We start from the raw sequence: 27,714 nt of genomic DNA on the forward strand, positions 1-27,714 counted from the left end.
TGATTAAGTTACGTGAAGAAAAATATCTATAAAATCTTAGCCCTGTACTGCTGGTGACATGATTAGCTTTTCAAAATTACTTGATGAGGACACACATTGCAAAGTAATAGTATAGAAGCATTGTATTAAGTACTTTAAAATACATATTTTATTTTTGTACTATGTTATTAGCCAAACCTCATTTTGTACTTTGCTGTTACACCTTGAATATCATGCATGTATAAGAGCAAACTAATCTTTTTCTTTTGAAAGGCTGTTACTCTTACAGATATAATTTTAACATCAACACAGATAAAACAACAAAGAACGATTATCTGTTAAAAGGGAAGAATAAAGAATGTAGCCAAACTAATTATGCAAGATGTCTGTAACAAATTAAATCAAAGAAAAGAGAATTTTCATAATTATGTTTTAAAAATTCAAGTAAAACAATAATTTTAATCTCCCTTGAGTTCAAATTTACATTCAGGGTTCTTCTCATAAAAAATTAAGTGCAAAAATGAAATTAGACTTTTTTTTTCCATTGTAAATACTGTATAGAGCATAAAGACTATAGGGTTTATAATTTCTGTAAATAATTACTCTTGTCACTGAGGAGAAGTAGATATTTGAAATAAAAGCAATGAATCAGAGATTAACAATCCCCTGAAGAACATATCATTTTCCCTCTCCCAGGTTCAGTGTGAGTCTTTTTGTTTGTTTGTTTCCACAGAGTATCTGCACAACCACCACTGCATTTTTGCACTTTTTCTTCCTGGCTTCATTCTGTTGGGTTTTGACTGAGGCGTGGCAATCATATATGGCTGTAACTGGAAAAATTAGGACACGGCTTATAAGAAAACGCTTTTTGTGCCTTGGATGGGGTAAGCATATTGATATACCGTTTCATGCTCTTCTCAAAATGACGTTGAACACACATTAGAAAGCAGTCATGAGTGATTAGACACAGGCTACTTTGTGTCTAATTTAATCTATGGAAGTGAAAATACATGAGCTGGTCAGTTTTGAACATTCATTGGTCATTTGGAACTTTAAAAGGAAGTAAGTATTGAATGCTCATTTAGCTAGTCAGTTAACATTCAACAGTGTCTAGATAGTATGAAATGAGACCCCGAGATGCCTACACACAGAAAAACAGTGCTCTCTGTTAATATTTTCTGAAAGTGCAAAATACCTTAAAATTTTCAAGGCCTAATGTGTGATGGTTCACTAGGCATGTACTCCCACCAAGAAAACTTAGAAGATTTCATTTCAAGAAATCTCAAAGCAATTAAAGAATAAAAGCGATTCATTTCATAGGGAGAACACCATCTAGAGAATTAATGAAACCTCACAGCTTGTTGACCTGGTCCTCAAAAGCAGAAACAGAATTGCTGACAGACTGAGAACTAATTCTTTACTTGTGTTTATTAAGAAGTTTCTCTCAAATTGCCTCATGACATGGACATCTCAAAGATCTATATTATAGGGCCAATTCTAATGATAGCCTAGTTAATTTAAGAAGCTACTTTTAGAAAAAGCCCAAATATACAATAATATCTACTGTATTAGAAGACTGGCATATGGGATGCTAGGAGGAACCTGGGAAATTACAAATAAGTGTGCTTATAACAATTCCAGAATTATTTAGGCTGGAAAAATATGATCAAGAACACGTAAATATTATTCATTAGGTTTCAGCAAGGTCTATTATGTCTAGCTAATAAATTAGGACTTTATCCACAGACAAATGGAAAAGCAATTAATAAGAAGTTGAAGAGTAGGCCAGACATGGTGGCTCACGCCTGTAATCCTAGCACTTTGGGAAACCAAGGCGGGTGGACTACCTGAGCGTGGGTGGACTACCTGAGCGCGGGTGGACTACCTGAGCACGGGAGTTCGAGATTAGCCTGAGCAATATGGCAAAACCCCATCTCTACCAAAAATGCAAAAAATTAGCCGGGAGTGATGGCACATACCTGTAGTCCCAGCTACTCGGGAGGCTAAGGTGGGAGGATTGCATGAGCCTGGGAAGTGGAGGTTGCAGTGAGCCAAGATCACACCACGACACTCCAACTTGTGTCACAGAGTAAGACCCTATCTCACACCAACACAAAAGTTGAAGACTTTGTTCTACTTAGAATTTCATCAAATTTTTGTCTAAATTTCCTGACAAAGGCCTTCTAAAGTTGAGATAGTATTTAAATCAAGGGACACTTTTGCCATGAATTAGTACCATTCTAAGAAATACAGAATACAGGTAAAAGAACACATTTTTTGATGAAGAACAAAACATGGTGATTTTCAAGATTAGTGACTACCTTGTTTAAAATTATTACTAAAGATTTTGAGGAGAGGGTTCACAGACAGTCTCCGTATTTACAGCTAATATTAAACTACTCTAGGTAGCAAAAACCTGAACTGATGGTGCTAAAGTATCAGAAAGTTTATGGGTTGGCAGAATAGTGGTGTGTGTGTTTCATTATGAACAAGTACAATAAAATGAATCTAGAAAAAATTTAATCTAAATTGTATGAAATAAATACTATTAATTCTTCAGTTATAACCCATGAGGAATTTTTTTTTCCTAATGAACTTGGTCCAGTCAATCAAAAAAAATCAACAAATGACATGTGTGGAGGAAGAGGAGAAGGAGGGACAAGAAGAGGAGAAACAGAAGGAGGAAAGGGAAGAGGAGGAAAGGGAGGATAAGGATGAGGAGGGGACTATATATTTATAATTTTATATACATATATGTATAGTCACCAGTGTTTGTTTAACACTATGGTGTGTCCTTCTGAGATGTTTTCCATAGTTCTTGTCATTAAATCTCATGAAGGAATGTGATGCCACTAGAGAAGGCTCACAGAAGAGAATAGCAGGAGGTATGTGAAATGATAGTAAGAAAGAAGACAGACAGAGGACATACAATAAAATGATTAGATGACGGATTTTTCAACCGGAAAAGGCAAACATGATCTTCCTGAAAAGAAGGCATAACCAAAACTAAAAAAAAAATCTTTAAACAGCATAGACTAGAGACTCTACCAAAATACAGGGGGGTTCTATTGAACTTGAATGAGGTAAGTGTAATTCCCATAAACGTAAACTAAAAGAAGATGCTAGCTCAGAATTGGAGCAGGTATGTAGGTAATTGAACTCCCTGTTTCTACATTCTTGTTATTATAAGCAAATTATAAAGAAAGTGTTAACTCATAAGATGTATGTTTTTTTCTGTCTTATTATAAGTACAGCTTGATGTGGATCAATATGTGGCCAATGGAATGTTCCACTTCTCCGATATTACATCATACCAGAACATCCAGTTTTTGCCTTTCTGATTTTATAACTATAAATTTCCTTTATAACAGTGTAAACCCCTAGGGAAAAAAATAACTTAAAAGATGTACTAAATCTCTGTTATTACTTCCATTTAAACCCGTGTCAAATGTGGTGGTAACCTAGCAACACCAGAGAAGTGCAGTAAGTTAAAAGCTCAGGTACCTCTCTCATATTTTTCAACTTGAAAGAAATCCTGTAATAGAAACATACCTTGTGAAGTGACTCATCCAAAGATAGTTTATCTAATTTGAGCACCTGGAGTTTGTTCTGGCTTTTCTTAGACCAGTATGCATAGTGGTTATAGCTAAATATGAATGCGTGACATTGCTTTTCTTGCAGGTTTACCAGCATTAGTAGTGGCCACATCAGTAGGCTTCACCAGAACAAAAGGATATGGCACTGATCACTAGTAAGTCCATCCACAGAGATAAATCATGTTTATAATTTAACAAATCATCAAAGAGTCTTGGTTGGCACTGCTGATGGCTTGCAGTTTATCATGGAATCATTAACAATGGTAGAAATTGCATTAGTAAGGAACAAAACAAGGTAGCTTAAATCTACAAAGGTTAAGAAATAAATGTTGTGGCACTATTCAGAATCTTTGTTTTAGTTTCCCATTTCTTAATAAGACCAGCATATTTGGCTTTTAAAATATTTCAATATTTATTTTGCATGCCCAATCTCAAATAAATTGAGAACTGGATAAGTCTTGACATACTTACTTTTTAGAACGTGGTGCTGCTATGAGCTTCTAATTCCATTGATGATAATGTGTATTGTTATTAACCAAGTTTTGTCATGTTAGTTCAAGTTTTCTTGCTATGTTAGGGTAATGCATACTAAAAATTATAGATCAAGGGAACCAATGGATTTTACATTAGAAAATACTTGGACCGTGGAAGAAATTAAAAGGGAGAAAAGGTATATGATATCAGCTTATTTTATAGTGGTAGAGCTGATAAATTCTGTGAGAGAATTTGTGTTTGAATTTAACATTTTAAATCTAAACAGTGCACTTTCATGTTTTATTTTATCTGCATCCAAGTTGAGGAGGCAGTTAAGAAGTGGGGAAAGAAATGTGCATCTTATTAAAAGCATATGTTTTAAAGCATGATGTTCTGTTTAATTATTTTGGGTTTGAGGTAGGAATCACTGCCAATTAGACCCTCTGATAGGTTCGTACAAATTGTAAACATACTGAGAGATATTATTTCACCTGTTTATCCTAAAGAAACTTCTGAAAAGTTTAAGACGCTCCTGTCATCAGAGCATTTTTGTGCCATCTATAGTATTTTTAAAAATTCTGATAGCATAGATGGCACAGTACTGGTTACTACAGCACTAGCACCTTAATTTATTACTTTTTACAATAGCATAATTATTGGTATACATCTATTTTTGGAAAGTCACTGTATTGAGAATATGGGAATAAGTAAGGTTATATATGTGATGGTTCCTACTTTCAAAGAGTTCATAATTAAAGTCCAATACAATACAATAAGTAATGCATTTATTTTATAGCCATAAGTTTTTATAACAGTGTAAACCCCTAGGGAAAAAATAAAAGATATACTGAATCTCTATTAGTATATCTTGAAAGATATACTGAATCTCTATTAGTATATCTTGAAAGATATACTAAACCTCAGTTTGAAGATTAGTTTACATAAAATTACAGTGGGAATTTAGTGGCAGAGATTAGTTTACACAAAAATACAGTGGGAATTTAGTGGCAGTCTTAGAGACACAATCTAAAGTGTTCTGTCAGACTAAGGTTTTTTTCTCCAGGTATTTTATTTAAAAATAGATATTAAAGTGGAAAAGTACGGTTTTATCTTTCTGCTGTTATGTCAAGGAGCAATAACTAAATGCAGGCTTTGAATATACATACACATATTTGGGTATATCTATGCTGATATAGTATCTCTTTGTGTACATATATAATTACCTTACATACTAGGTAAATATGTTTAAGATATAATTTACATAGAGTAGCATTCACCCTATTAAGTGTATAGTTCTGTGAGTTTTGCGAAATACATAACTCGTGTAACCACCATCACAATTAACATAGAGCAGTTTATTGTTAGAACAGATATAGAGCAGCTACTGTTCATTGTTACTGCTTTTGAAGGCAGCATGCTGATGCTGTAAGCTGAGAAGAAATAGTTAAAGGGTCAAATGTCAAAAAACTGGTGCATGAAATGGTGGCCATGACTTTTTGCACCAGCAGCCCCTCACACTTCCCTCATTTTCACTTTCCTGGATTCTGCATGAGCAGATGTGCCACCCTGCAAAGCATCCAGTGTCAGCCCCATTCCCTCTGCATTTCCCTCTGCTGTGAGAGACTGTTTCTCCCCAAATGGATTATCTTGTCTCTATCAATGCAAACCTACATCTCTTGGTGAATTTAGGCATTGAAACAAACACAGCTGCACTTATTTTTATTCAAAAGCTTATCTTTAGAGAATTTTCTTAGTAGTTTGGTGAAAAAGTAAAATTAGAAGAAAAATAGCATGCAAATGTAGCTTATCCATTCCCTGCAATGATGGCTTTTAAACCAATTTCTCCCAATATTTCAATGACCTCGAGGAAGAGCAGGTAAATGGCACGTCTAAAACTCTAAAAAAAAATACACTGGTCTTGCTTTAAAGTACATTTGAAAAAATCCATAATGGATATAAAGCAGCATTTTATAAAATGTAAATAATACTCAACTTTGTAATGACAGTAAATATAGAAACCTCATTGCAATAGTAATTTGTCTAAAATGTTTCAACTGCCTGAAAGTAAAACCTTGTAATAAAACTTTCTTTTGAGTTAGATATATATAGTATTTCTTACTTATGAAATGATATAATTCTAGTTTTTTTCTACATCTTCTATGTATTTTTTATTACAAATGTTTAACATGTGCCAAAATTCCAAGGCAAAATGTATAATCTAAGTTGTTTGTATCACACGTTAGTGGTCTAATACTTGTCACTAATTTTTGTTAGTTCTTATCTAATGTCATTTTCAGCTGCTGGCTCTCTCTTGAAGGAGGACTACTCTATGCTTTTGTGGGACCTGCAGCCGCTGTTGTCCTGGTAAACATCAAAATCAACCTATTTTGTTTTCTTAGGAAAAAAAAAAAAGACTACTTTCTTTCAATTAGAGTGGCAATTTTGATAATGTAGTTCTTGTGTAGAAATTTTAAAGTTCAATGGACTATTATTCTAATTGAATATAAATTATTATTCAGCCCTTTATTATTCTAAAATATTCTTATTTTGAATACTGAAGAATATTAAACTGGGAGTGTGGTATTTCTCTTACAGTAATTTCAGATTTGTGAAAAAGTTTGAGTAAGTTTTAATGAATTCTTCCTCTTTAATGTATAGAATCTCATCATTTACCATAATTTCACCTTTACACTATTCTGTACAATACATATGGTTATTACGTATGGTTATTAATAGGGAAATCTCTTTAATGCTGCCCCTATCAAATATCTAAAGGAAATATATTCTCGACCTCAGTGATACTGATATTTTGGATCATATGTTTGTTTGTTGCAGAGGCCGTCTTATGTGTTTTACCAGGTTCCGCAGCATCCTTCTTCTCTACCTACTACATACCAGTAGTACCCCCTAGTCATAACACTCAAAAACATCTTCAGACATTTTCCAATGGTCCCGGGGGGTCAAAATCATCTCTGTTTAAGAATCATTCCCATATGTTATAGATAAGGATTTTAAATTTCTCTTTTGAAACCACAAAATAATTGTTTAAAATTTTAAACTACGGTAATGTGAAATATTTCCTTCCAATTTGCCTTTCTCTTTCTCCTTTTGGATTTATTGATTACAAGTTTTTCTTGCCCAATAAATCTTTAAAGAAAATAAGGGAGGAAAGAAACTGTCTAAATTAAATATAAATATTCATATTGCTATACAATTATATTTCTAATTGGAAAGTTACTCTTTGGTTTCTTGAATGACTCATTCAAAAAATTGGAAGGTAGTGACATCCTACTAATTCTGATATGTCTGTTTTTTTCTCCCTTTAAGCTTGTTCTCCCTCAACTAAGCTGTAACAGGGAGCAGAAACTGTCTATAATTTGCAAGAAAAATAAAATCAAGGCAAGAATCTTAGTGCAAAGGGAAATCAAAACTATTAGACACCTTTTTTGTCTGCTGCTTTGAATTTTTATTTAATCAACTGAACTATTTCCCTAAGCTTCTAGGTTAATGCCAATATAACACTAAAATGAAGAAACACAGTGTGTATATAATTGAAACACCAAAGTATGGTCTTTGGAGGGGTGACAAATTCCCTTATGATTAAGTTGTAGATTACTAGAATCCATAGAATACACTTTTTCTCTTAGTTTAAATGAGAGGTACATAGATGAATAAGTATTCTCTTGATTAAGTGGTATCTTGTCAGGAAACTATGAAGAGTGACTCTTCCTAAGTCCATACTTAATAGGTATGTTTTGCATCTTCCTTACGTTAGCAACTGGACACATTTTAGCTTTATATTCACCATCTTCATTGGCAGCAGGGCAGGGTTACACCAAGATTGGAAAGAGGCCAGAAAGGCAAAAAGAAGAACATATTTTTCATTTACTCATTGGACTGGATTCCTTGATCAGAAAGTGTTGGTAGATTAGAGAACTGTCGGGGCTCATCATAAGCTGGTACAAATAGACATCTATGCAGTTTTTACAGTTTTACTTGAAAAAGGAAAAATATGTGTGATTTCATTTCATGTATCATGCAAAAGACCTTTTAAGTGAGAATAAGAAAGTCTTAGAAAGAAAATGATAGAACTGTACACTAGAGCATATTTTAAAAATTGGCACTAGTGTCCATTGTGAAAAAGATTCTGGTGAATTGAATAGGCTTTCCTTTCTGCTTAGAAAAGCATGGTACATCAAAATGCTCCCCTTCCACAGAAAAGAATAACCACACAGCATGAGGAATTTAAGCATTCTGTCCTCTGTGTTGGGAATAATGACAAATCATCAGCACCTTTTGCTGCCAGGGCTCACCCTAACCTCATACTCTAAGATTCAGAATCTCCTGGCTCATGGGCATAGGGTAAAACTGCTTTAGCCAAATGATTTTACTCAGGGTTGACTCAGACAGAAGAATGCCAGATTGGCATAGTATGGTACCATTTAAAATTCAGGCAATTGAAGGTTAATTTCCCCAGTGTTAACTGCAAAGCATGGAAATTAAATGAACTTAATGTACTTTACAACTTTAAAGTAGCACACCACTGTTAAATTGTTCCGTATGCCTCTGCTCACTTATAAAATGTTTGAGAGTGCTTCATACCACTACTAGTGATACGGTGGTTATGAATTGATAAAAATAGGATTTTCAGGAGAAACAGGGACCTGATTCCCTTCAATATCATTGAAAGGTCAACTTTGTTTCTGTTTGACAGGTCAACATGGTGATTGGCATTTTGGTATTTAATAAACTTGTTTCCAGAGATGGAATCCTAGATAAAAAGCTCAAACACAGAGCCGGGTAAGCTGCAATTGGTGGATTTTGAAGGTTATTTATCAGTGAATCCCATACTCCAATTTCAGACCATCACTGACTGCGTTTGACTCTGCCTTGAATTTTGTTATTGATGTACTAGTGTGTCCAGTAGATTCTGCTATATAAAAGTTTCCAATGTGCTATTTTTAAGCAATACGACCAAAAATCTAAAACTACTATAACAGACCATGAAGAAATTCGGAGTGTACTTGTGCATATTGCCTGCTTGTCAGATAAGAACGTTAAACATTAAGGCTTTACTTGCAATAGTTGTCGTTAGGTAAGGGTTTTCAAAGCCTTCCTGGTTTTGGTCACAAAGAACAGGAGGTAGATTGAACACAGTGTTGGTATGTGACAGAACAGAATCAGAACAAGCAAACCTAAACAGGGCAAAATACTATATTTTCTTTGACTAATTGTATATATCAGGAAAAAAATCTTCACTTGGAATAATTACTTATCAAGCACTATTTAGGTCTTATATTTTCATTCTTTATGACATTTTTAATCTAACTGGCTAAAAAGAGTTATTCATAATTTTCACACTTTAACCTCATAAAATTTAGAAAAGCATCTCCTTTAATTTTACTGTTATTATAATATATAAATATCTGATGACATATTATATATTATAATATATATCTGGCCGGGCACGGTGGCTGACACCTGTAATCCCAGCACTTTGGGAGGCTGAGGTGGGCAGATCACGAGATCGAGACCACAGTGAAACCCCGTCTCTACTAAAAATGCAAAAAAATTAGCCGGGCGAGGTGGTGGGCGCCTGTAGTCCCAGCTACTCGGGAGGCTGAGGCAGGAGAATGGCGTGAACCTGGGAGGCGGAGCTTGCAGAGAGCCAAGATCGCGCCACTGCACTCCAGCCTGGGCGACAGAGCGAGACTCTGTCTCAAAAAACAAAATAAAATAAAATAAAATAAAATAAAATAAAATAAAATAAAATAAAATAAAATAAAATAAAATAAAATAAAATAAAATAAAAAATATGTATATATAATGACAGTAACGTCTCATATATAGATTGTTAGTAGCTTTTTAAGGTGACATCATCCTTTATCATATAAATTTGTTGACACTTGAAGTATTAATGCCTTTGTTTTTTCTTTGTGTCCTTCCCTATAGAAAGTTTACAGCTTTCTCCTTTCCATTGAACTGTAACCTCATTCAAAACTTACCCATGTAATATTCTTTTCTTCCATAATTTGTGGTATTATTTAATAGTCCTACTAATTGATCAGTTACTTATGAAATTTTAAGTCCTTTGTGTTCTTATAACCTATGTAATGATTTATACAATAAGATAATCTGGGTATTTATTTTCCCTAGCAAAAGACTAAATTTAATGGTTTTCAATATAAAAATTTGATATCATTTATGTAAAACATTAGAAATGCAATAGCGTAATAAAAACATGACTGAAAGTTTCTTCCTGAGCGGGGATCACTTCTCTCATTTAGAGGCTTTTTTCACTGCAGACAAGTTTCTGTAACAACCTTAAATATGTAGACTTGAACGTAGTACAAGCACAGCTTTCTAGATCATTTGAACACAAAATTTTCACACAATTACTCTTGTTATTACGCCACATGTGGTGGAAATTGAAGTAAGCTTCTTCAGTTATTTCTGTCCAGATTAATCATGTAAGAATATACTGATCAGACTGAGTACTGGGATAGAAACTCAGTTCTGCTGCTAGTAGTATAAACTTACATAATTTAAACAACATCGACAATAAAATGGGACTCTTTAGTGGTTAAGATGAAGCTCTGCAATTTACTAGCTGTGTCTATGTGCCTTTGGGTGTGTTACTTTTTGCAACTCAGTCTCCTCATCTGTTAAATGGGGAAAATAACCCCTGCCTCATAGAGTATATGAAAATATAATGTGTATAAAGCACACTTTAGAGTATCTAACATATAGCAAGCATTCACTCAACAGTGGCTGCTCTTCTGAGAAGCCAGCCTGAACAGATTAGGTTGTTTTTGAAGGTCTCTAACTGTCAATCAAGAATCCATGATTCCACCATCCAAGACATGAAGGTCATAAAAAGAGATGAGATCATTGAAATGAATATGATATTGAGGATTTAATTAAAAAAAAATTTAATAAAAAATTTAAAAAACAAGTGAATACCCTTATTTTTTCTTATTTAATTATTTTATGTGTAAAGCCCAGTTTAATTCATATAGCTCTTTATAAGAGATCGTATAGGTTTAGAAGAAATGACAATAGTGTCTTATTATGAATTTAGAAATTATCCATTCCAATCTACATATTAACAAATAAGTTATTCTAAACATATTCTTAGAAGTTACTTATGTTTCACTGGCAAAACTGAGTGGGTGTTTTTCTGGTTCAAAGGCCACTCCTAGAGAAACAGAAATGTTAACTTATGTTATAAAAGCAGAATGTTGGCTACTGTCCAAAGCAGAAAAGAACTATTAACAAATTAATTACTTTGGGTTTTCAAATTATATTTCTAATATAAAGTACTGTTTTAGCTTAAGCAAATATAGATTGAAATTTGTACTCCATTCCAAAGTGTGATTGAAGGAAATTTTTGGAAGCTATAGAGGTTTGAATAATTTTAGTTCACAGAAAAGTAGTGAGGACAGTGAAGAACAGTCCCCAGTGAAGAAGAAATAATCAAAATTAACTAAAGAAACATTAAGCAGGAAACTAATTGGTCGACTTGACAACCAATCCTCCTAATTGTAAAAATCATTTCAGCTTATTTGAATATACACATATATCAAGCATTTGTTTTACAACTAGGTTGTTATTAAAAACCAAATATTGTACCAAGATGTTCCTTCTCCCATTTTTTCTGTTTCTTTGTTCCCTTTCTTCTTTTTTATAATCAGTTATTAGAAACAGCCAACCATATAGTTTGTGCTCAATAAATATTTATAAGGAATTAATAAGTGAATGTTTAATAAATAATACAATAGTTTAACAAGTTTTATAATACACAAACTATATTAATATTTTTTCTACTGAAATTCTTTTTTCTTTTTTCTTTTTAACTTTTAAGTTCAGGAGTAGAAGTACAGGCTTTTTACACAGATAAACTTGTGTCTCAGGGATTTGTTGTACAGATTATTTTATACTCAGGTATTAAGCCTAGTACCCATTAGTTTACCAAGAAGGAATTTATTGTAAATACAACACATCTTAAATAAAATGATAGAGTGAATAAAATCAGGATTAAAAATGGCATGTATATTTTTAGAACATCTTAAGCAGAAAATTTAAGTTTCTCTATTTTTCTGCAGTGGAATTTTCTTATCTACTGCCTTAAACGTCTTTGTCTTATGTACCTGAAACTAAGGAAACTATGACTTACTAGTACCCTTTACAAATTTCATGTGATTTTTTTTTTTTAAAGAGAGGCTGGCGCATTTCCTTTCCAGGGAATATTTTATGTTATTAACAATAAATCAGTCAGACTTTTTTTCTTTAAAGAAAAAGGAAAAATAACATGGAGAAGGGAAACTAGAACTTGTAGATTTTAAGACCCACAGTAATAACTGGAGCAGACAGAACTACCTGAAGAGTAATGTGTGTAAAGTTTTTCTATTTAATGTGACTTTGCTTCTATAATGTGATCCTACCCTGGTGCCCTGGTGGGTATATTGGTTAAATTTAGATGTATGGACAACTCAAGGTTTTTTTTACTGTTTGAACTTTTAATTTTATAAATGAATAATTTCTTCTATAATAAAGAAACAAGATCTCATTTTTCAATGCAGCAACTCAATTTAGCATCTAGACTATGAGTTTTTCATATTATATTAATTTCTATAGTGGTCACATAAACTAGGAAAAAACATTACATGTCTCTAGGTAACTTATCTTTATTCTACTTCATGCACATCCAGTAATAGAATGCCAAAGGTGTCCTACCAGTTAACATCAAGCATAGTTTTTAACAGTTAGCCCTGACTAAGGGAAGTAGGCATAGGTCTTCTAGTTAGACTCAAATAAATATCAAATAAAGACAAATAAGCATTTTAAGTAATGGCTTAAAATTTATTTTCAGACAGGCCCATACTTAGATTAAATCACAGTTTTCAGGTCTAAAATACTTACACTATGTACTTAAAATTATTTTTTAGTAATATTTGGCTTTCGATCTTGTTTCAGAGCCTAGAGGCAACATATTCTTAGATTAAGAAAGACAACTGCATCAGTGTTTGAAGTGTGAACACCATACAGCCTATCTTCTGTGATAAAGGAAACAATATATAACTAATCCATGCCTTTTTCATATTAATCTGATCAGATTTAACAAGATTAAAGAAATGCAAATGTTTAGTTAGAGAAGTGGTACTTGTTCCTGTTTGTTCATCAGCATAATCTATGGAGCTTTAAAAAAAGCAGATGCCTAAGTCCTATTAAATTAGAGTCTTTGTGGTTGGGGCCAGATAGACAGCTGATGTGCAGCCACTGTGGAGAATACTAGGCTATGTACTCCTTTGGGATGTACACATCGGCGTGTCCAATAAGGCATTCCTAAACTAAACTGGATAGACTAATGTTTACATATTATTTTGAAACATTTGGACACATTTGGCAACTACATGTGCCCTGGAGTGGATCAGTAAAGCGAGGGATTTAGTGTCATATTCCCCACCCCCACACTCATGTCTGAAAGCTTTGATTTTTCTCACAGGATCTGCTGATCAATCTACTTAATTAATCACTTTCAGATTTATTATCTCATATCAGCACTATTCACAAGTGAGTACCCTTATTTAAAATAAACCAGAGTTCTAAATTATGAGCATCTTACAACTTTCTCTCTTCTGCCACTTTTTTTATACACATAGTAATGCAACTCCGCTATAAGATTCTTTAAGAAAACCTACAGAGTAATCATTTTAGACATAGATACCACATAGGAATGGACTATGCACACCTCAGAGCATTATTCCAAGTTGTTTGGAATTTTTAATTCAAGTAATTTCTTTTTGGTTTTTCCTAAAAGGTTTATTTTCTAATAAATCTGTAATTTTCAAGGTACAGTTTTCTAAAGCAAAATGTGTGTAAAGTTTTTCCATATAATGTAACTTTGCTTCTATAATGTAGTAGATGGAGTATGAATTGTTTGAATCTGAATTTATGTGCAAAATCCTCTAGACAAGAATAGACCATTTAAATACTAGGAGGTTGGAGTCTATGACAAATGTTCAGAAATAATATTTTGAACTTAATGACTATGTTAAATGTGTTTTATTAAAGCAGAAAACTATCACTCTTTTATTATCAACTAATATTTCATCAAATTTCATCAGCCCCTATATTCAGATCATCCTAAAATGTGGACGATACATATTATAAGAAATTTCAAAATATGAATCTGTTGAGAAAAAAATTACATCTTCAACAAATAATTGAAGACTCCTAAAATCCATTTCTTCCTATGTTGGACTTCTGAGATAATTATTTACATTTCAGAAGGTTTTCACAGATATATATGCCTTCTGCAATTAACAATGAACATCCTCAGGGCTAGGAGTCCTCACATGTTTGATTATTGGGGTCTGAATAAAGGGTTTTCACTGTATGTCTACAGAAGCACATGCTTATGTTTAACTCAGTGTATTGAGCAACTTTGATCAATAGACACAAGGGCCACTTATGGTGTAATGATGGAAATATGTTTTGCATGCAACAAAGGCCCATATTAAAAGGTAAATGTTACAAAGATAATTTGTAGTATAAATGCATCTTTACAACAACCTAGAGCATACATTTTTGATAAATATACTTTTCTGCATGAAATCGTATTTAAAAGCTAACTTGAAGCAGCAATTTTTTTTTGGTGACAATTCAATATTTTGTTCTTTTTGTGGGTGTTCTGTTTGTTTGCAGTCAGATGAGTGAGCCTCATAGCGGTTTGACGCTCAAATGTGCCAAGTGTGGAGTAGTTTCAACAACAGCTTTGTCAGCCACCACCGCCAGTAACGCCATGTTAGTCCCAATCATTTACATCTTCTTGTTACAAATCTTTTACAGTGCATGTGAGAAAATGCTATGATGAAAAAAAATTGTGTTTTCTAATACAAGACCAGAGAGTATATTTAAATATTTATAATTGGCAACTGTCTTTATAGCTATTGTGGGATAGTATATAAAAAAAAAAATAAGACTCTCAAATGTCATCTGCTTTGTGGTTTCCAAGTTAATGGTCTTGGAACCACATACAAAAATGCTTTGTTGAATGGGGGTTTGGCTATGGCCTGGGGTGTGATGTATAGCTACGTAATGTTACTTTCTTGGTCTCAACAGGGCGTCTCTTTGGAGCTCCTGTGTGGTGTTGCCCCTTCTGGCTTTGACGTGGATGTCTGCGGTTCTGGCCATGACAGATAAACGCTCCATATTGTTTCAAATACTTTTTGCTGTGTTTGATTCATTGCAAGGCTTTGTTATAGTCATGGTCCACTGCATTCTTCGGAGAGAGGTGAGAAGCATTCTTGTGATAGAGAACAGTGATGGTTGGAATGGTATTTCCTTGCTAAAAAGAATGATCTTTTAATATCTTGATGTTCAGATTAAAGCTGGTCTCCTCCATTGACAATCACTTGGGAATCAAAGCTGAAGGAATGCTTTAAGACACAGCTTGGGAGAGCCCCCAGCACTCTGAAAGTGACAGATTAGAACAGATGGGACTATGCCAGGAAAAACACAACCAGAGGTGTCAAAAGCCAGGAAGAATAGATTTAAAAGAAGCTACATGGAGTGATTTGTATAAATAAGTCTTGTTAGAAAAACTAGTGAATAAGAGGGCATAGAGGCATAAGTTTTAAAGACACAGTTCATGAGCATAATGCAGTGATAGTTCTTAAGCTTATTCCCTAACTCATGTTTCTTCACACAGCACACCCTCATTGCATATATTAACTAATACTATTTTAAGCAGAAAGCATTGAAGATGAATGCTTAGATCTTTTGTCTCTATACTAAGTTTTGGTTATGATTGCTATGGATTATTGCTTTTGATATGGATGTTTACTCTTAGAAAAATACTAAAAATGTATACAGTGAGACATGATAGGCAGTGATTATCTCCAAGAACTGTAGAGGTATTATCATATCAGCATTTCTCTGGATCATGATTGAGGTTTATTGTCAGTAGTAGGGGAAGAAATAAGTCATATTTCATGAATGCAGACACTAACTAGCACCAGATCCATCCAGGACAGTGAGAGATTTCAGACTTGAGTTGTTTAGAAATAAAATGTTGTTTTCCAACCTGTGTGAAAATTATTTTGAATGCTTGCAAGCACTGAGAGTATTTATAAGGTTTATGAGTCATTTTAGCATTTACTCTAGGGATGACTGGTGACAAAAACACACATGACATAGTGCCATGCTAGTCACTTTGAGAAAACAGTCTACTCTGTCATTTTGCATTATCTAGCTTGTTTGAGAACTTTATTGCAATGTGCACATTGCAAAAAAACACATGTACGTATGAGTATAAACCCTATAGTTTTGCAGTGATGTGCAGAGATAACTAGAGGCTTTTACCTGATTTATCAGATGGGAAGAACAATATTTCTGAGCTATTTTATTTTATTTTTTATTATTCTTTAAGTTCTGAGATACATGTGCAGAACGTGCAGGTTTGTTACATAGGTATACATGTGCCATGGTGGTTTGCTGCACCCATCAACCTGTCATCTACATTAGGTATTTCTCCTAATGCCATCCCTCCTCTAGCCCCCCACCCTTGACAGGACCTGGTGTGTGTTGTTACCCTCCCTGTGTCCGTGTGTTCTCATTGTTCAACTCCCACTAATGAATAAGGACATGCAGTGTTTGGTTTTCTGTTCCTGTGTTAGTTTGCTGAGAATGATGGTTTCCAACTTCATCCATGTCCCTGCAAATGACATGAACTCATCCTTTTTCAATAGCTGCAGAGCATTCCATGGTGTATATGTGCCACATTTTCTTTATCCAGTCTATCACTGATGGGCATTTGGATTGGTTCCAAGTTTTTGCTATTGTGAACAGTGCCGCAATAAACATATGTGTGCATGTGTCTTTATAGGAGAATGATGTATAATCCTTTGGGTATATACCCAGTAATGGGAATGCTGGGTCAAATGGTATTTCTAGTTCTAGATCCTTGAGGAATCATCACACTGTCTTCCACAATGGTTGAGCTAATTTACACTCCCACCAACAGTGTAAAAGCCTTTTTATTTCTCCACATCCTCTCCAGCATCTATTCTTTCCTGACTTTTTAATGATCGCCTTTCTAACTGGCATGAGATGGTATTTCATTGTGGTTTTGATTTGCATTTCTCTAATGACCAGTGATGATGATCTATTTTTCATATATTTGTTGGCTGCATAAATGTCTTAATAAGATACAGATGTCCATAATAAACCCACATGTATTCTAAGAACATTCTATGTAGAAATTCAATGAAAACCAATTAACAGTAACTTCACATTGCAAGGGGAGGAGAGTATTTTAGCATTTAAAAAGTCTGATGTCGTTTACTGTTGCCAAGCCTTACTATTCCCTTAGCAAGTTTCTACCTAGAATATCAGCATTAAAAATCTTCCAAGTATTGAATTATTTATAGACCAAAGGAGTAGAAATTAAGAGGAAATTGAATAATAATTTAGCTTATGTTCTCCAACTATAACTATCTTATGGGTCTTCTATATTAATATTATTGCTAATAATTAAGTAACAAGATTGTTCTAAATGAGTAGACACATAATATGTTTTTGATTGATGATTAAGGATGAAGTATTTCAGGCTTTAAGTAAGATACATGATGATATACCTACATGCAGTTTTTAGAAGATACTAATACCTTAGGTGTTTAGGAGTAGAACAGTGCTGCGTCACTATATAAGCTTCTCTTTTTCTTCAGAATAAGCTTGATAGATAGTTTTAAGCTATCATCAAAATATGCAGGTTTTAAAGTGGCAGATATTATGATGGCTAATTATCAAATGTTTGCTGTTTACATGAAGAAAAATACTTGGCACAAAAATTCTACATTTCCCTCAGAACTTTTTCGTACTTGCTAATTGGACTATTAACTGTCAAAAACAATGATTTACAAGTAATTAAATCAATCATATAATAAATGCTTCTGCTAAAGTAGGTGTCTCTAAATACATGTTTTCTGTACTAATGGAAAATAAAAATATGGATACATCTCTGTTGTTGCATTTTCAATTATTAGTTCAAGTTGAATAATTTTATAGCAAATAAATTAACAGCAGAGTGTCATAACACTCTTTAGCTCCATCACTGAAATGGCAAATCACATATTTCTTTTTTTTAATTGAACCTTAAAAATACCCTATAACATTACTGTAAATACACAGAGCAGATTTCAGGTATAGGGCAAGTCTGCTTCAGAATTCCTAGAGGAAGATTTCATTTAAACACCTTATTTAGAAGGATTTTACAGATCCCAAGGAAGATATCATAGGAGGCCTCATTTGGAACACCAAAATTCTTTTTGACCTTCTAAAGGTATATTGCCTGACACTAGCAATGGGTATATCTCAGATTACTTGTGATCACATTGCCCTGACATTACCATGGTCCAAGAGAAGAGAAGTATCTTCCCATATCCTCTGTGTCTCCACTGAACAATAATTTCATAAAGACATACCAAAGAAAATGGAATAGATAGCTATATGTAAAACATTAGGTAGTGATTCATATCTATTAATCTACTTGATAATTTATAATTGGATCCTAGAAATACAGTTTTATCTCTACTGCTCTTCACTTTAAAATATTTGCTTCACTAAAATTCCTGTGGACTTTTCTTTCTTAAAATATATAAGCAATGTAAAATATATATTTTTTAATTTAGAGACTGGATATATATATATTTCTATTTCTATGTATTTTTGACAGACACTAACATAATTTGGTCTCTAATGACTGTCCCAATATGAATTCAGAAGGCTTTACCCATATTTATTATTTCTGTGGAGGAGGTGGATCTACACAGGGGAAGAATATAGCCTTGAAGTTTAAGAAGGAGAAAATAAGTGAAATACTATAACTGTGATATTTTTAATGTGTTGTGTATGGAGCCTAATTTATTTTATTTTTTTTATTTTTTTTTATTTTTTTTTCCTGCCTTTGTAATTCTTTTTTTTTTTATTATACTTTAAGTTTTAGGGTACATGTGCACATTGTGCAGGTTAGTTACATATGTATACATGTGCCATGCTGGTGCGCTGCACCCACTAACTCGTCATCTAGCATTAGGTATATCTCCCAGTGCTATCCCTTCCCCCTCCCCCCACCCCACCACAGTCCCCAGAGTGTGATATTCCCCTTCCTGTGTCCATGTGATCTCATTGTTCAATTCCCACCTATGAGTGAGAATACGCGGTGTTTGGTTTTTTGTTCTTGCGATAGTTTACTCTTTTAGTGGGTCCAATTTTACACTCATTTCAAATCAGAAGAAAAGGGAGAAATGATTTACTCTGTCCTGCCAAATCAATTATATTACACTAAAAAAATTTGGAATGTTTGCATAACTATTTGTTCTGACCTTCAGACCTAAAATCTTAATATTTAAACTTTATAAAATTTATATTCTTGAAAATACAGTTTCTTCTTCTGGAATAACTTTTCTTTTGAATTACTTTACTAAATCTCTCTGGAGAAAAAAACAAAAGACAAAAAGAGGAAATAAGAACAAAAAAAAAGAAGCCATCTGATTCATCACAATACATAGTTTTAGCAACAGAACCTAAATCTTAGAAGCTAATATGTTTAACAGCTAATAAGACAGAATTGAATACAATGAGTATGGAGGTGTTTCTTCATTTATCCATCATTGGTTGATTGGAATTTATTTGAATTAAACAGATAACAAAATATACTATTTACTATTCCCCGCATTGCTATGGAAATGGAAGGACACAAGAGTTATGAAACCTTTGAAATAGTTACTGTTGCTAGGAAACCACTTTCTTGGTGCCTGCACATTCTTCTCATCTTTCTGTCTCTGGCTGTGCCTGGCTCTAAGACAGTCTTACAGCTCTATGTCAGAGGGGGAAAATCACAAGATCGTGATACAAAACAAGCTACAATAAAACTCTTTCACTAAATGGAAGGATAAAAGGAAAGTGCTTAAATGGATAATTTTGTTATATCAGTGTGTGAGAATCCTGTGGCTGTTCTGTAGCATCACTAACAGGGCCAAGCTCCTCTTTTCTCTTTCCCAAGCACTGGCAGGAGGTCTAGGCTGCACCAGATGAGGTCCCAAAATCTGTATCCAAACCTGTGAAGTCATTTTGTAGTGAAATGCTTAAAATAAAAAACTTTTCTTTCTTCCCTCTCCCACTCGCACCCTTTTTTAGCCTATTTCCTATTTAGTCTTATTATTTCCACAAGGCGTACAGATAAACAAAATGATTTACATGCACATGGCAGTGAATATGTAAAAAAGACAAGCATCCTTACCTGTCTAATCTAAAACCAGTAATATTCCAAAGTAAATCATTATAAAAATGAAGCCAGTAGTGATGAAATAACTAGACAACAATATGTAAAGGGTCCATATTGCATATAATATAGTTCAGATGGAGAGTTACATGAACATCCAGGTTTGACTACTTACAGGGAAATTGAGTATGACTCATTAGCATGGAAGGGTATATCTGTGCCTTCCTTTACTGCAGGATGGGTCAGCTGTTTTAGTTGGTCTTTGAAGAGGAAGGAGGAGATGATAAAAGACTTCAAAACTCATGGGTTCCTAAGGGAACAATGAGGTTGGAAGATTAGGGAAGTGAAGGTTTCTGGTAGAGGAAGATGGAGAAAGGTTACTGGGCATATGGTTTCCATGGAGTGGGGCCTGTGGTGAATAGCAGAGAGTTTGATTCTTCTCTGGGACCATATGAAGCACATGGAGGCATAAAGCAAATTATGTGATCCTGGACCCTAGTGATTTTTTTTTTTTTTAGAAAGCTATGACTGAAGCAGCAAAAGAAAAACAATACTGATGACATTTGAGGACAAAGCATTGACTAAGTGATGTTTTGTGCTTTCTGGTCAGAATGTTCAATGACCATGATAAGTGGCCATTATGAGTGGTCTCGTAAAGAAAGATAAATAGATTTCAAAGTTCATAAGTAGCTCAGGGCAGGGAGGGTCAGGGTACTGATTCTAACATTTTGAGCTTGCTTAGAAGGTGGTTGTACTGATTCTAACATTTTGAGGTTGTACTGATTCTAGCATTTTGAGCTTGCTCAGAAGAAAACTTCAGGCCAATTTCCCTGATGAATATCAATGTAAACATCCTCAATAAACTACTGGCAAACTGAATCCAACAGCACATCAAAAAACTTACCCACTTTGATCAAATTGGCTTCATCCCTGGGATGCAAGTCTGGTTCAAAATACACAAATCAATAAATGTAATCCATCACATAAAAAACAGAACCAATGACAAAAACCACATGATTATCTCAATAGATGCAGAAAAGGCCTTCGATAAAATTCAAAACCCCTTCATGCTAACAATTCTCAATAAACTAGGTACTGATGGAACGTAGCTCAAAATAATAAGAGCTATTTATGACAAACCCACAGCCAATATCATACTGAATGGGCAAAAGCTGGAAGCATTCCCTTTGAAAACTGGCACTAGATAAAGATGCCCTCTCTCACCACTCCTATTCAACATAGTATTGAAACTTCTGGCCAGGGCAATTGGGCAAGAGAAAGAAATAAAGGGTATTCAAACAGGAAGAGAGGAAGTCAAATTGTCTCTCTTTGCAGATGACATGATTGCATATTTAGAAAACCCTGCAGTCTCAGCCCCAAACCTTCTTCAGCTGATAAGCAACTTCAGCAAAGTCTCTAGATACAAAATTAATGTGCAAAAATCACAAGCATTCCTATACACCAATAATAGACAAACAGAGAGCCAAATTATGAGTGAACTCCCATTTACAATTGCTACAAAGAGAATAAAATACAACTTACAAGGGTTGTAAAGGACCTCTTCAAGGAGAACTACAAACCACTGCTCAAGGAAATAAGAGAGGACACAAACAAATGGAAAAACATTCCATGCTCATGGATAGGAAGAATCAATATCATGAAAACTACCCGAAGTAATTTATAGATTCAATGCTATCCCTATCAAGCTACCATTGACTTTCTTCACAGAATTAGAAAAAACTACTTTAAATTTCACATGGAACCAAAAAAGAGCCTGTATAGCCAAGACAATCCTAAGCAAAAAGAACAAAGCTGGAGGCATCATGCTACCTGACTTCAAACTATACTACAAGCCTACAGTAACCAAAACAGCATGGTACTGGTACCAAAACAGATATATAGACTAATGGAACAGAACTGAGGCCGACCTATGGAATGGGAGAAAATTTTTGCAATCTATCCAACTGACAGAGGGCTAATATCCAGAATCTACAAGGAACTTAAACAAATTTACAAGAAATAAACAACTCTATCAAAAAGTGAGGAAAGGATATGAACAGACACTTTTCAAAAGAAGACATTTATGCAGCCAACAAACATATGAAAAATAGCTCATCATCACTAGTCATTAGAGAAATGCAAATCAAAACCTCAGTGAGATACCGTCTCATGCCAGTTAGAATGGTGATCATTAAAAAGTCAGGAAACAACAGATGCTGGAGAGGATGTGGAGAAATAGGAAGGCTTTTACACTGTTGGTGGGAGTGTAAATTAGCTCAACCATTGTGGAAGACAGTGTGATGACTCCTCAAGGATGTAGAACCAGAAATACCATTTGACCCAGCAATCCCATTACTGGGGTACATACCGAAAGGATTATACATCACTCAGCTTGCTATAAAGACACATGTACACCTGTGTTTATTGCAGCACTGTTCACAATAGCAAAGACTTGGAACTAACCCAAATGCCCATCAATGATAGAATGGATAAAGAAAATGTGGCACATACACACCATGGAATACTACGCAGCCATAAAAAGGATGGTTTCATTTCCTTTGCAGGGACATGGATGAAGCTGGAAACCATCATTCTCAGCGAACTAACACAGGGACTGAAAACCAAACACTGCACGTTCTCATTCATAAGTGGGAGTTGAACAATGAGAACACATGGACACAGGGAGGGGAGCATCACACACCAGGGCCTGTCGGGAGGTGGGGGCCTAGGGGAGGGATAGCATTAGGAGAAATACCTAATGTAGATGATGGGTTGATGGGTGCAGCAAACCACCATGGCACATGTATACCTATGTAACAAACCTGCACGTTCTGCACAGTTATCCCAAAACTTAAATTATAATAATAATAAATAAAAGAATTAAGCAAGGTGGGAGTTGGTTGCTAAAAGCTTTATCCTTGTCAGCCTGATTGAAAGTTCAAAAAGAAACACATTTCAGATTTTTTTGTTGTTTCATTTGTAATAAAATAGGATGTGGGGCCAGGCACAGTGGCTCATGCCTGTAATCCTAGCACTTTTTTTGGGAGCCAAGATGGGAGGATTGCTTGAGGCCTGGACTTTTAGACCAGCCTGGGCAACACAGTGAGACCCACATCTCTACAAAAAAAAATTTAAAAAACATTTAGCCAGGTGTGGTGGTGTGCACCTGTATTACCAGCTATTCAGGAGGAGAAGGTAGTAGGGTTGTTTGAGCTCAGGAGGTCAAGACTGCAGTGAGCCATGATTGAGCCACTGCACTCTAGCCTGGGTGACAGAGTGAGGCCTCATCTCTAAAAAGAAAAAAAAAATAGAATGCAGTACCTTGAAATGGGATAATGTCTGCAGGTATAAAAATAAACCTGGATTTTACCAAAACAGAGAATGAGGCGCACAAAACTGCTTTTAAATAAGAGCATGGGCATCACACAGGCAAGGACAATATGCTCATATTCTTATATACCTTTCCAAGAATTCACCAACCTCATTTGACCCAAAAGTCATCCCACTTCTTAGGCAGGGAAATGTAAATTCTAATTCTCCTTCCAGATTAACCTTTCCTGACTTAGCAAAATTGCTATTATATTATGAATATTTACATCAGTCTTGATTTTCACACATGGTTCTCCTAGTCCATGCAGAGATTTAAGGGGTTAACAAGAGTATGAAATAAGATGGGTGAGATGACATCAGTAAAAAAGCTCAGACAGAGAGTTTGTAACAGAAATTGACAAACTCTGTCATGCCTGCCGTTAACATCAAACCATTGCTTGCTGTTACCCACAGCTCTTCTGCAGGATCCTCACACTGCCGTCCCAGCTGTTCCCTACTCTGGGTAGCAGCATGGTGCTTCTGTCTCTAGTCAAGAAGAGTAGGCTGGGCACAGTGGCTCACGCCTGCAATCCCAGCACTTTGGGAGGCTGAGGCGGGTGGATCACCTGAGATCAGGAGTTCAAGACCAGCCTGGCCAACATGGTGAAACCCTGTCTTTACTAAAAAATGCAAAAAAAAAAAAAAAAAAAATTAGCCGGGCATGGTGGCAGGCGCCTGTAGTCCCAGCTACTCATGAGGCTGTGGCAGAGAATCACTTGAACCCAGGAGGTGGAGGTTGCAGTGAGCTGAGATTGTGCCACTGCACTCCAGCCTGCATGACAGAGCAAGACTCTGCCAAAAAAAAAAAAGAAGAAGAGTAGGTGGACACAGACATGTGGATATGTGGATGGACAAATTTCACCTTTCTCTCCTTGCCACTCCTAGATTGTCCTTGCAATATTGTTAAACTAATAACTGGAGGTTCAATATGTCTTAAATAAAGGTTCAAACTGAAAACTTATTAACTCATGTCTTATTTTTTATCTAAATCATAAAAGGTTGGAAATTATGGTACAGCCACTCAATTTCTGACCAGTTGGAGATAATTGTTTTGGTTTATTCCTTCACTTAAACTATCTTATGCTTTGTTCAGTAAGACAATAGAGTGGTACATTGGAATGAAGACTAGCTTTCAAGTCAAGTGACCTGATTCCATTCCCAGCTCTGCTACTTGTTATTTTTATGATCTTGAGCAAGTTACTTAAGCTCTCTAAGCTTCAAGGTCCTCTTCTGTGACACTGAAATAATGTCTGCCACAAAGGGGATGGCATGAGGCTGAAATGAAATATCACCTGAGAAGGCATGGGATCCTGGTGTATGACACATAATGTCCCTTTCCTTCCTTTCTATTCTCATGCTGAAGAAATGCTGCTACATATTTTTCAGATCATGGACATGACATATAATTTAGAGAAGCTTATATGACCTCCTCAAACTGATATAAAAAGTAATTTGAAGGTAAAGAGGTATAACAATTTTAGAGATTAAGTGATAGATCCTTTAGATATTAAGGGATTCTAATAGAAAGTCATTGGGACTGAAATTTGCATCTGGAATGCATCTTTTTCTTTCATTGTATAGTAAATGGCAGATTTTCACTTTTTGTTTATTGACTTTGCTATCAGCAAAGTCATTTAATATATTAATAATGTGAAGTCACTCATAATTCATTCATGTCAATTGTCATATCAACTATCATAATACATATGAAATTGAAAAGTCTTTCATTTCATAATTAGATTGTATAGAATTTAATGATTATGAAAAGCTGAGCTGTTTGTTAAAATATGAAACAATGGTAGAAATGAGATTCAAAAAATAAAAGGCCACATAAGAAACTCTTCTCCCCCGAAGGAAAAATTACAAATAATTACAAGAATGTAACTTTACTTATTTTCCTGGCTTAGAATGATCCTCTTGAATAGGAAATCAAGAAGAATTACTGTAGGTAAAACTGTCTTCTTAAAAGTGAAGATTCAGGGTCTGATTTGCTCAGTAGCTAAATACAGAGCCCGTTTCAAACTGTGGAGCTCTTTCCTGTGAGGTTTGTCTGAATTGCAACACTGCCAAACATCGCTCGGTGCTCTTCCCTAGCAGTCTCTAACTCTGGCACCAGCTTCCACAATGACGCGCTACCAGCTGCCTTCAGAGCGAAGACCAGTCCAGAAGCTCTCAGCCTGCTGCTGTTGATATAAAGTGAATCCCTCTCCTGGTTCAGAAGACAAGAGCGAGACACACCCCTGCAAACCTCTTTGAACTCATGTCTCATCCAAAAATCCATCAGCATTTATAGCTTTTTCAGGAGTTTTTAGAGCAACCCCCAGCAGGAGCCAGTCAAAATAACTTTGGAAGTGCATGGTTAGATTCTTTTCAGGAGACAACCTTGATAGCTTATTGTTTTTTCTTCACCTTATTGTGTGATGTTTCTCGCCATTCTTTTTTTTTTTCATTTTACAACATGCCATTAGATTGCCTTAAAGTCTCCTAAATATCCCAATATTAGTTACATATCTGTTCCTTGCTACTCCTGCAGATATTTGACCCTCTGCCTATCAATTCAGGTGAAAGATCTATTACAGATTATTATAAAAAGAAAAAATTTGAAGTCTAGATTTTAACTGTGCCATAATTTATCTTAAATATTAAATTGTTTCCTATAGGTTTAGTAAAAAAATTGCATTTACTGGTATCAAGTAATTTTTTTAATGTTAATTTCACAAGAACTCAAAGATGCAATGATTTTAATATCTAATAAATCTTAAATTTAGTTGTTACCTAAAATAAGTGATTTTCCAAATGGTAAGTCAAAGAATAATATTATTGCCAGGCATTAGAAATATGACTGTTGGCACAGAATATTTTAATATTCTGGTTGAGAAAGCAAGATCTAGAATCTGTCTTATTTTATTTTATTTTTTTTATTTTTTGCGTTTTCTGCTTGTTTGAAACATAGACTTGCTTTTTACAAAAACTCAATTATTCTTCATCAGCACAATTCACATCAATTCACCAAAATCAAGTCTCTCTTAGTTTACCAGATACAAAATTCAATTAATTATCCAAACACGTTCAAATAGCTGTGAATGCGTTTTCCAGATACCATCTTGCCTGAAGTATTCTATTCTGTGATAAGAAATGTGCACTATGAAATCTAATCTAATCATTCTTTCCTGACAGTGTTGGACAAATATTTAAGACTAATATAGACTAATTCATCCAGATTCCCTAGATACTTTTTTTTTTTTTTTGAGACATAGTCTTGCTCTTGTCACCCAGGCTGGAGTACAATGGCACAATCTCGGCTCACTGCAACCTTCGCCTCCCGAGTTCAAGCAATTCTCCTCCCTCAGCCCCCAGGTAGCTGGGATTACAGGCACCTGCCACCACGCCCTGCTAATTTTTGTATTTTTTTAGTAGAGATGGGGTTTTGCCATGTTCGCCAGGCTGGTCTCGAACTCCTGACCTCATGTTCCGCCCGCCTTGCCTCCCAAAGTGCTGGAATTGCAGGCATGAGCCACCACGCCCTGCCCCCAGATACGTTTTTAAGATTAAAAAAATAAATAAAATGGAGCATTTAGAATAAAGTAGAATTTCTTATGCAAATCTTTCTAAATTAGAGGTATCAGAGGCACTAAAAGTGTCAGAGAATCTAGCACTTAAATTGTGACATATGACCATTAAAATGACCTTGAATTTACTGGAGAATATTTATTCTTTTTTGATTTATATTTCTTCTGAATAGCATTTAATGATTCATGAAGCTGACATCATCATTCAGTGTAGAAATGCCCTTAATCTATTGTCCCATTTGGGAGTTTGGTAGTGAAAGGTATTGATTTTATATGTGTGTGTGTTCTGAAAAGACGTGGATTTCTTTTACATCTCCTTCAAGCAACTAAGAGTTGATTTTGAAAAGAAACCTACAAAAATTGTATTTCCATATTTCATAGTCAGCCAAAAATATTGGTAACTATGCTTTGAAGGTCTGAAAATTGGGAGTGGTTAGCAAGG

The 27,714-nt window shown here is 34.8% G+C and overlaps 1 protein-coding gene across 1 annotated transcript in view; it reads left to right on the plus strand.

The window, feature by feature from the left end:
- Positions 1-27,714, plus strand: part of ADGRB3 (adhesion G protein-coupled receptor B3) — a 754,225-nt gene that overhangs the window by 688,878 nt on the left and 37,633 nt on the right. Inside the window, exons 21-26 of the mRNA NM_001704.3 lie at positions 713-863; positions 3,661-3,730; positions 6,347-6,413; positions 8,764-8,849; positions 14,757-14,855; positions 15,174-15,345. Coding sequence (NP_001695.2) covers positions 713-863; positions 3,661-3,730; positions 6,347-6,413; positions 8,764-8,849; positions 14,757-14,855; positions 15,174-15,345 — 645 coding nt within the window. The remainder of the gene's footprint in view (positions 1-712; positions 864-3,660; positions 3,731-6,346; positions 6,414-8,763; positions 8,850-14,756; positions 14,856-15,173; positions 15,346-27,714) is intronic.

Source organism: Homo sapiens, chromosome 6, assembly GCF_000001405.40.
Source record: "Homo sapiens chromosome 6, GRCh38.p14 Primary Assembly".
NCBI lineage: Eukaryota > Metazoa > Chordata > Mammalia > Primates > Hominidae > Homo > Homo sapiens.